Source organism: Homo sapiens, chromosome 2, assembly GCF_000001405.40.
Source record: "Homo sapiens chromosome 2, GRCh38.p14 Primary Assembly".
In the NCBI taxonomy this organism is placed as follows: domain Eukaryota; kingdom Metazoa; phylum Chordata; class Mammalia; order Primates; family Hominidae; genus Homo; species Homo sapiens.
In genome coordinates this window covers 13596360-13608381 of record NC_000002.12, presented here as the reverse complement: position 1 = coordinate 13608381, position 12022 = coordinate 13596360, and the positions used below count along the sequence as shown (strand labels likewise).

General features: G+C 34.2%; 1 long non-coding RNA gene across 5 annotated transcripts in view; it reads right to left on the bottom strand.

Annotated features, from left to right (window-relative positions):
• LOC105373438 (uncharacterized) overlaps positions 1 to 12022 on the bottom strand; it is a 220483-nt gene that overhangs the window by 150015 nt on the left and 58446 nt on the right. The window lies entirely within an intron of this gene.

Here is a 12022-nt window from a genome sequence, read left to right as displayed (position 1 = left end):
TACTATTTTTCTGTCAGTGTCTACATAGATTTTTACTTAGTCTATTGTTAAAATTTCCCTTATAATCTCTCATCTATATAAATATATTTACATTAAATTATATTATATTGACAATTACACTATATAATAGTTGACAATTGTACATTTATTTTTTATGTGTATATATATATTTAGCTATAATGTACTGCTACATATTTTACATTTTTATTACTGATCATTTCTCTTAAAAAATTTTTTTCTCATTGTAGAGGGTTAAAAATATTTTGTAGAGTCCTTGCTCAAGTATTTGAATATTTCTTTGAACTCAAATTCATGGATAATAAACTCTTGAATATCCACAACATCCTTCTTTTTTCCTAGATACTGATAGTTTTGTTGGGTATGACATTTTGTATCACTGTGAATTTCTTTTGATGTCATTCTACCACTTTTAGCTTCTGATGTTGTAAATGAAAAAATACATACGGTACTACTCTAATTTTTTTCTTTGTAAGAAAATGTTTTCCCCATCTTAAAGTTTGTGATTTTTTCCTTATGCTTGAGTTAATTATATTTGGCTGCAAGAATTCTCCTATATGGTGTCACTTATCTTTATTTGCTCACTGGAGCCCAAGTCTTTAGTTGAAACACCTTGAGTCATGGCATTTCTGCAAGTGGTACAACCTAGAGATAGCTGGCCCTCTGTCAACAAGCAGGATGCAAATCCCCATGGAGGTATCAATGCTCTTGGCTTTCCTAGCCTCAGGAGTAGGAGTTAGACAGTTTTGGCTCCTTGGAGATGAGGCAGGTCAGGCAAACTCACATAGGACCGATGTGGTTTTTGCAATTCTGTAGGCCAGGCTCTTTCTAGGAGATGATAGTTATAGATGATATAGATATAGATACACATATACATATTACATTCTTTTCTTTACACTGGGTCCTTTTAGAATGGCCTCTAGTAGTCACACTAGACACTGGCCACAAGAGCCTTGTACCACTTCTGTTTTATTGGATTTCTCTAGAGCTGAACTTCTCCTTCCTAATCAGTTGCTCACAAGACTCAGGAACTGCTTGCCTCAAGACAGCCGGCTGATTTAGAGTTGAGTTGAAAGGCATGAAAGATGATTTTGAGTCATCATCTTCCTGGAATTAGTCCAGAAATTAGCTCTGGTTATTTATTGATTTTTTTGAGTTATAAGATATTACCGGGACCCTCAGAAAAATGCTTGGGCAAATTAGATGAAAATAACCACAGGAAATACAGTCAGAATGATTTATTACTTATCTTTAAAATATACCTAAATGTTGTAGAAATAAGTATGTACTTCTTTCTAGTAAAGCAAACGTATTTTCAATTTACTCCTATTTTGGCAAGATTTTAAATATTTATTATTTTACAAAATACGTTTGACAATTTCAAAGGAGGGTTTGAGCCAGATTCCTATATTTGATAAAAAATTATATTTATCCTTTAATATTCAGCTCCTTTATCCTTTGAAGTAATTGTTTAACCTCCTCAAAATAATTCACACTTCCCTCTAAACCAATTATTTTATGACTATTTGGATAGTATGAGTATTTGGATACTAATGTAATTAGTTGTTTGAATATTAATCTCTCTTTCTAAATATTTTCATCCATGAACACTTGGGCTGTAAATATTTTATTACTGAATATTGACCTTCATAACTGTTTAATAAATGTTGGCTTGAGTGTAATATTCAACTCGGTGGAGATATTTAGTCATTTGTTATATTAGAGAAAACTTTTAATAATTACTTTTGTTAAGAATCTGACAAGTGATTACTTGTCAGAAGGGTTATTGATTGTCAGATCCTTTACTAACCTAAAGACTAGAATAATGTTAACAAATTTCACATACTCCCAGAATAAATGATTCTAGTCATGCACCATATAGATTTTTTAATCAGCAACGGATCACATATGACAGTGATCCCATAAAATTATAATAGTGTATTTTTACTGTACCTTTTCTGTGTTTAGATGTGTTTGGATATACAAATGCCATTGTGTTACAATTACCTACAGTCTTTAGTACAATAACATGCTTTAGAGGTTTGTAGCCTAGGAGCAATAAGCTCTACCATATAGCCTAGGTGTGTAGTAGGCTAGACCCTCTAGGTTTGTATAAGTACATTATAATGTTTGCACAATGAAATTACCTAACTATGCATTTCTCAGAATATATCCCTGTCATTAAGCAATGTCTAACTGTATATTTTAAACTACATGCTTTTCCTAATAAATGGAAACTTATTCTTAGTTGTAATAACCCTGGAAAACTGTGCCCAAATTTCTTTCATTTAACACCTTTTATCACCAAAATATCACATAATTGTTACAAATTTACTCAATAGTAACTTACAATTTCTTTCAAAAAGTACATGCTAATTTGCCTTTAGCGATTAATGTTAGGTGGATCTATTGCTAACATAAACCTCTGGGACATTTTCTGGGACAGATAATTTTTTAATCAGGAAATTCTTTCTCCTATATAAGTCTGTATGAATGCACTTTAGAGAGATAATGGAAAATTATTAACTAACTAGAAATGCCCCCAAATGGAAGGGACACTGCTGTGTGGGGGCAGATGAAAAGTGGACACTGGAAAGTTTCCACACGGGCAGGGTATCTATGTGTTTTCATTAAAATATAAGCTTTTGCAGCCTTGAGCATGAAATTGGACCTGGTAATTTTCATCATTCATTTCAGTCATAAAAATTAAATGAGTCTGTAATCAACTTGCCTATAACACCAAGAAAAAAATTGTCCAAAATAAATATGACAATGATTGTTTTAAAATTACTTAGCAAATGTACAGGCATATACAGAAAACTATGTGATTCCGGTCATGTCTGCTGAGGTTTCTAAACCTAATACTGGGTTTATCCCAAGGGAGACAACACCATCTGTTAAATGCTATGCTTGCTATTTTTATCATTGCTTAACTCACTGGACTCTTCAAGAGGGTGAATAGATGATATCAGTCTTCCCTTATAAAAATAAAGAGCCTGGCGGGGTGCAGTAGCTCACACCTGTACTCCCAGCACTTTGGGAGGCCAAGACAGGTGGACCACCTGAGGTCAGGAGTTTGAGACCAGCCTGGCCAACATGGTGAAACCCTGTCTCTACATTTCTACTAAAAGTACAAAAATTAGCCAAGCGTGGTGGGGCACATCTGTAATCCCAGCTCTTGAAAGGCCGAGGCAGGAGAATCGCTTCAACCTAGGAGTCGGAGGTTGCAGTGAGCTGAGATCACAGCACTGCACTCCAGCCTGGGTAACAGAGTGAGAGTCTGTCAAAAAAAAGAAGAAAGGGAGGGGAGGGGACGGTAGGGGAAGCGAGGGGAAGGGACGGGGGAAGGGAGGGGAAGGGAAGGGAAGGGAAGGGAGAAGAAAGAAGGAAAGAAAACCTGATATGGGTACATATCTGGATTTTCAGAGATGTTATTAAGTATTATTTACTTTAGGCTTCAAATATATAGGCTTTAAAATATCTGTTTCATTCAAACTTATGTAGCAAATATTTCTAATACACTCCACACATAGTTAATAGTTATTTCATTTTTCTAATGTTGTCTACCCAAACTGAGACAGTACACCTCATTTATGTCAAGTAGCCCAATAACAAAATTTACAGATCCTGGCTTACAAAGTGATGACAGCCAAAGAGGACAAGAGCTTCTGTTATCACATGCTGTTTTAACTAGCTCTGGAAAGGCTTTAGCTCTCCTACAAGGCCTGGCAGTAGGACATACAAGCTAGACTGTATACCCTATCACCGCTTTGGAAGGAAGACAATAAGAAGCTTGGATGTCCAGCACTCAGTACGCATGTTGCCGTAGCTCAGGATACTCCATAACCAGCATCTGGATTTGACAAACTGCCTGATTGCAGTCTCATACAGGATTACTACCATAGCACATGCAATATCCTACAACTCAGGTCCTGCCACATATATGCCCCAGTGAGGGAGGGCTAGAGTGGACAGAGCCTCAACAGAGCCAGACTGAGTTATGCTTGCCTAGCCCTAAGGCCATCTCAATCAACAAGGGGCATTGCCTAATGAGAAGTAGAGAGCAGTCCAGGCCTACTGCCCAATTACTTGGCTTGTGTACTCATCTCAGGGCTGACATACTCAGCTGCAGATACTGAAGACTGTTTCTGCTAAGTAAGGAGCAGCACCTTGGGACGTTGCTGCCGGGCAGGACAGTAAGGGTTAGAATCATATCCCAAGGTTGTTGGAGGGCCCCCTCTGGCAACTTGGAACTCTCCCTGAACTTCATTTTCAAACTACGTTTGGGATTAGCACCCGATTAAGACCCAGGCCATCCTTTTAGAACCAGTACTTGTACTTGGCTAATACTAGAAAGCGAATTTGATTACTCACTTTTGGACTCTACGAAGAGTCCTTGCAAAGGTGACCTGGGTTATGATATAGAAAATATTTGCATTCCATGATTTCTGTTATATTCTGTGGACTGATAGGACCCAGCCTAGGAGTCACAAAATCAAGAGTGTGATTCAATGTAACATACTGGAGAAGGAAACAGTAATGTAAAACCAATGAAATAATGCAAATCACTAGAGATATATTGTCATGAAACAAGAAAATAACAGCAAAACACATCACCAAATATTTTTAAATGAGGAAATCATTACCGTTTTCATACAAGAGCTTTAATCTGGCATGCAAGAGTTCAAAAGAGATGATGAAGAAATAGGTAGAAATGAAAAATAGGCTGTTGGGACTAAGGAAACAAATAAATGAGAATAATTACACCAACACAGAAATGAAGTCAATAATGAAAAGAGCAGAGATAGAACAGACTCCACAGTCCACATGGTAAGGATCTGGAGGACAGCATTAGTGCTCCATGTAATGTATGTCAAGATGTTAATATCTGCAGCTGAGCAAAAACTAGGTTTGTGAGATAATTTTCCTAATACGTTTTATAGTTTTTACAAAGTTTTTAGACTTTAGACTTTATAGTGTAGGTTATTTTTAACCTACAGTATATTTCTGAATGTAATTATGTCAGAAAAGTTGGGGTCTGGAATTCAGCAGTGTGATGCTCTGTTTTTCAGATCTAATTAATAGAACCATGAAAACAGACCACAGAGGCAGGAGGGCTTATATAATACAAATTGATTTACAATACTACAAGAAAATCCAAGTCCACTCTGCTCAATTTCTCATGGGGGTATAAATCAGTTCCTACAACTTTGAATAAAAGAGATTTTAGGCATTTTGATAGGTATTTTTCATAACTTATTTTATTTCATCTTGCACCAAAGTGGTGAGGTAAGCATAATTGTTAAAATTTTAAAGAAACAAATTGAAAATTAGAACTACTGAGTTACCCGTTTTACAAAAGCAGGAAGTGCTTATTTTTCTCCAATCACACCATGATGACTTATTAAAGCTCTTCATAGTTTAAGACTTTTCTGGATTATTTTTACATTTTCATTGGTAACTGAAAATAAATCCTCAATATGTTTACCTGTTTTGTCTCAGGTTTGAAGAAGTCTAGATACAACATATTTTCTGTACTTTATTTAATAAATTTGTATAATATTTATAGAGAGAATGTTAAAATAGTAAATAAATATATGAATTAATAAAATAAAAGAACAGAAATACAGTGTGATTGAGGTATAAACATACTCATGTTAGAACTTAGAAGGGCAGCAGCTAGCATCTTACATTATGCCAGATAAAAAATGTATATATTTCTAAATTAGTCTTGCATTTTTGGCATTAATATTCCTGAATATCTGTCATAAAATTGAAATAAATGATCTGTGCGTCCAGTAAAATTACTGTTAGGCTTTGAAAATGGCTCAGTAAGAGTTATTTATAGACCCACAATATAACTTTTAAGTTAAATTGAAATGGAAAAAAACACAGCTTTTCTTTTTCTTTTACAAGTAAAAGTTATACTTACAGAATGTCCTTTTCTAGTTTAAAATAATGTATAGTTTTGAACATTATAAGAAATTGTACTATTATCCAATTATCCAACCAATCATATATGTATCAATCATATATTTATGATGCTATGATAATGCACTTTTGAAATTTTGCTGCAAGAATTTTTTAGTTTTATCTCATTGAGCGCCTCCATTAGTAAAGGAATTTCACAAGTTAATCAAATACGGACACATTTTAAATTTAATGAAGCAATGGTTTGAGGAAAAATAACCTACTTGATTTCTTGGACTCAAAAGTGATATCAATGGTCCCCATCAAAAACAGTATGCAGTTGAAGTCTTACATTTAATTTTTACCATGTCAGAAATCTCTAACAATAGATATTCTTTGTGATGTGTTTGCTAATATTGACCAAAATATAACTTTTTCACAGAAGAAACTATTGCTCTGTTCAAAAAGTGTAGAGTTATCACTATAGTTTTGCATTTCCAGTATCCTATAAATGGAATTAGATAATATAAAGGCTTTTATGTCTATTTCTCACACTTCACATAGTAATTTTAGTATTCATCCATGTTGTTGCATATATCAGTATTTGTTTTTATTGTATAGTAGGCCATTGAACAAATGTGTCGCAATTTGTCCATTTACCATCTGAAAGACAATAGTGTTGTTTTCAGTTTGGGGTGCTAATGATTAAAAAAAATACGCTGAGAATTCACCTGAAAGTCCTTGTGTGGACTTATATTTTCATTGTCAGTCAATAGGAGTGAAATTTCTGAGTTGTATGACACATGTATTTTTAGATTTATGACAAACTGCCAAACACTTTCCAAAGTGGCTATAACATGCTGTATTCACACTAGCAATGTATAACAGTTTCAGTTAGCCTCACTAGCACTTGTTATTTTTATTCATTGATATTTTGCCAACATAATTGCTTTGGAGAGGTATTCATTGAATTTTTAATTATGTTTCCTTAAATATGAAAAAGTAAGCTATTTGAGCATCATTTCTTATCTTATTGTCACTCAAACATCTTCTTTGGTGAAGTGTATACTCAAATCTTTTATCATGTTGAATCATTTTTGTCCTAATTATTGAATTAAAGTATTATACATTCAATATGTAAGTCCTTTTACCGAATATATGTTTATAAAATATTTTCTGCCAGTTGGAAGCCTGTCCTTTCATTTTCTTAAAAGCTTTTAGAAAAAGCAAAACATTTTTCACTTCAAAGAAGTAAAATTTATCATTTATTCTTTTATATTATTTGCCTTTTTGAGTTATAACAACCAAAAACATTTGCATAATTGAAGGTCAGACAGATTTTCTTTGATGTTTCCTATCACGCATTTCATACTTTTAACTTTTGTATTTAGTCCTGTAATAAAGTTTCACTAAATGTTGGTGTAGGGTACAAGAAAGGTTCACGTTCACATATGTATGCATGTATATTTACAACATTTCTGGTATCATTTGTTGAAAATACAATTTTTTCTCTATTAAATAACATTTGTATCCTAGCATCATTGTAAAATATAAAATGGCTACATAAAGTGCATCAATTTCTTGACACTTCTTTGAAATAAATGTCTGTCTCTATGCCAATATCACACTGCCTTGATAATTTTAGCTTTATAATAAGCCTTGAAGCCAGCTGGTATCAGCCCTCTTTTTTTTTTTTAACTTTTTAATTTTTTTAAGTATCTTATTATTCAATAACACTTTTATAATCAGTGTGACCATTTATAGCAAAACCTTTTTGGAATTTTTACTGCGTAGAATATTTTTCTCTGTATGTGTAGGGGTGTGTGTGTGTATGTGTGTGTGTTGTGTGCGTGTGTATGATGTTTGGGGAATATTGAAATCTTATCATTGAGTGTTCTGATTCATGGATATCATATATGTCTATATTTATTTAGGCCTTCAATTTTTTTCAAGAATTTTTGTGTAGTTCTTAATGTGTTTTGTGAAATTTATCTGTATTTCATGTTTTTCATGCTATTATAAATATTTTATCTCCAGTTATATCAGTATATACTTTGAAGCTCTTTTTTGAATGTGTTTTTACTTATTTAAGGCCGGGCACAGTGGCTCACGCCTGTAATCCCAGCACTTTGGGAGGCTGAGGTGGGCGGATCACGAGGTCAGGAGATAGAGACCAGCCTGGCTAACACGGTGAAACTCCGTCTCTACTAAAAACACAAAAAAATTAGCCGGGCTTGGTGGCGGGCGCCTGTAGTCCCAGCTACTCCGGAGGCTGAGGCAGGAGAATGGCATGAACCCGGGAGGCGGAGCTTGCATTGAGCCGACATGGCACCACTGCACTCCAGCCTGGGGGACAGAGAGACTCCATCTCAAAAAAAAAAAAAAAAAAGATTGTTATGTATTGATGAATTGACTTCTGTAACATATGCAAATTATTTTTCATCCCTAGTATTTTTTAAGTCCGCTTTGCCTTGTATTCATGTAGCCACTCAGGATTTGTCGATTTGTGTTTTCATGATGTAACATTTTATTATTTTATTATTAATCTAGCTTTTCTTCCGGTATTTGGAGTGGATTTCTTATATGTAGCATATACGTGGATCTTGCTATTTTATCCAATCTAGTTAATCTACATTTAACTAGAGTATTCGGAAGATGTATGTTTAATGTAATTATTGATACTTTTAGTTTTTAAACATACTCTAGCTATTTCTTTTCTATTTTACTCTGCTTTTCCTCTTTCTGCTATATTTGGAAAAATTGAAATTATTTTATTTCAATTTATTCTCACCATTAATTTTGTAGGCATATTTCTATGTTTTATTTCTTAATAGCTGTTCTCAGATTATAAAATGTACATTAATTTATTGGAAGTTGCTTTTGCATAATACCACCTCATGCAACATATAAGAATCTTAGCATAATAATTTTCCATTTTGCTCACTCTCATCCTTTATTATTTGATCTTTTCCTTTGCCACTTGGTATAAATCTCACAGTACACTTTTATCATGTACAATATTAAGTATAAGGAAAATATTTTGTGTATTTAATATCATTTTCACCATTTCTATATTTTTTTTGTACATTGAAATTTTTATTTGGTGTCATGTAGACTTTACCTGAAAAAAAAAAACCTTTAATATTACCTGTAAGGCAAGTCTGCTTTCAACAAATGCTCCAACATTTGTTTGCCTCCCATCAATGCCTAGTTTTGGATAAAAAGTCTGCTGTTATTATCATATATTTTCCTATATTCTACTTTCCTATCCCCCACTGCTGCATTCAATATATACTCTTTTTTTTTGTATTTCACAATTTAACTATAATGTGCCCTTGGAAATTTTCTTAGTATTTATCCTGCCTATGGTTAGCAGTACAGTCTTTTGATTCTACTGGTATAGGTTTTGATTAATTTAATGTAATCCTTGCCACTCTCTTTTCAACTATTCTTCTAACCTTTCTTTTCCATTTGTTTTTCTTTTAGGACACCAATTACATTTATGTTAAACATTCTGATAATAGTTTAATAACTCTTAGAACCTCTATTCTAAATTAAAAATATCTTTATATTTCTTTTAGATAATTTTTATTAGAATGTCTTCAAATTAACTTATTATGTCTTTTACAGTGCCCAGTCGATTTATTCAGCCTGTTACAGGACATCTACATGTCTGATACCATGTTTTGCATTTCTCCCATTTCCACTGGACACTTTATGGTTATCACTTTGTAGCTATCCATTTGTTCAAGCACGTTGTTACCTTTTCCACTATGTTCTTTAACTGATTATTCATAGTTTAAAATTCCTTTCCCGAAATTTTCAGTATCAAGGCCATTTCTGAGTATGGTTTTGTTGACTGCTTTTTCTCTTTAAAGCTCTTTCCGATCACTTTGTCTCAGAAGTAATCAAAGCTCTTTTGTCAGGCTGTCATTGTAGGGGGTTGAATTACTCTAATCATGAGTTGATGGCTTAGCGTTAATTGTTGCTGAATTGCCCTTCAGTGAACCACAGACTTCAAATTTCTTCATCAATGGTGGACTCCTACCTTTTGCTTATTTTATGGACTGTAGCACTGGAGTTTTTTCTCCACATCACTGCTCTGCTGTCAGCTTTTAAGGGGCCTTGCACACCAGAGACACAAAGTGACTTACTGTCTCTATTCATCCTTGGTTCTCCTTCTTCGGTCTCAGTTTTAGGTAGCCCATGTATATACGTGTTTCCAAGATAGTGTTTTTCCCCTTTTCTTTACCTACCTTATAGCAGCCAAACGCTACCTCATAACATTGAGGGGGAATGGGAGGAGAGTGATTTTTCAGCACTTTGTCTGCTTTATTCCAGTGCATGATACTTGGTGAGGCGGTGTTCTTACAGTTCTCTAAAAAAGATGGTTTGGCTTCTTCGCCTTTACTAACAGTGGCTAACCACTCTCTGGGCCTGGTGGTGGGAGATTTCTAGCTTGTCCTTAGCAGCAGACAGCTTTCTTTCATGTGAGACACGAGTTTGGGTTTTGTACCTGTTCTGTAGGAACAGCTTATCATGATATGCCTGCCTGTGTCACCGCAGAACCCCCTCAGATCTATGGCCTGCTCCATGTTTCTCCTGAGCATCCAAAGACAGCTTCTGCAATCAAGCCCTTAGAGGAGTGTCTGGGACATTCGGGTAGACTAAACTGTCACGTTCCCCTACATGGGATCCTTAAGAACTCATAAAAAATTCAGTTGTTTTCTTCTTTTCTGCTTTTCTGGTTGTTACCTTGTTTCATAAACTTTACCAAAGGTGAAACAGTTTATGTGGCCCACTGAGGAATTAGTTACCATTTTGAATTCAGTTCATCAAGTTATTTTGCAACGATTAGTTCTTTGATAGGCTCAAAAAAGGTATAATTTTGTAGATTACTTAGAATATTCTCATTGTTATCAACAGAGCAAAATTATTTGCGGCTTTTCTTATTCCTTGTGGAAGTAGTATTCTCTGAAGCCCCTTCTTGAACAGTCTTTAAATATAATAGAAAGATTATTCATATTCTCAAGGAAATACTGGAAAAATGTCAGAGTAATGAGCTGGCAGAGAAGAAAATATTTCTATGCTATTTCTACATGTTTTTTCATGACTAACACATGCATTTATTTATTCACCCATCCCGAAATATTTATAGTTTACCCAGAGCATTTTAACTATTTTGTTAGACTTTGGAAATAAATAATATATGATAGTCTATTTACTAAAAGATCCAGTTTTGTTTTTATTTCAATTTACACAAAATGACTCTATATCTGTACAGTTCACTGTTGGTAAAAAAAAAAAATCCTCAAAAGATAATGTATTTCTCATCAATCTCAATAAGCAGGCTTTACTTATTTAAGAAACAAAATTTGTATTTCTTCAAACTGACATGCTATGCAACAACAACAACAAAAAACACCTATAGCATGTATAAATGAAAGTACTGAAGCCATGTTTTTATCCTCATTCAAACAAATCAATCCCATCAGTACATGACGATATGTGGTGAAAGTATAGAGATTTGAGGAAACTGGAATTTGCAATGTTCACTAGTGCACAAGTGACTGAATGTTTTTTATGAGAGTTTACATAATTCAACATAAAGGGCTGAATTTATGTTCATATAAGCTAAAATGCAAGCCTGGAAAGTGTAATTTGAGACATTTTATGAACTACCACAAATATCTCTTTCCTAATCATGCAACACCACTTGTAGACAAAGAAGATGTCCTCTACCATGAGCCAGGCTCAGGATGCCTGACTTCTACTCAGATTTATGTTTTTGGATCTCTCCCTTTGAAGATCTGTTTGGCAGTGAACATCATCTTAGAAAGGATTATGTGCTAAACTAATATACACTGAGGTGTATATGCACTTAGTGACTCAATGGGAAGTTATTTAATTAAGGAGAATGGAGGCAGTAAAGAAAGAAGCAGTAAAGAACATTTTGGCAGACATAATAACTTAGGTCAAAGATTCTAATGTGAAGTTCTATGGACGTATTAGCACAGAGGATTCTTTGTTCGATTTGGCTGTACTGTGCGTTGTGTGAAGATTTGCAGCATTCTCAACCTCTATCCACTAATTG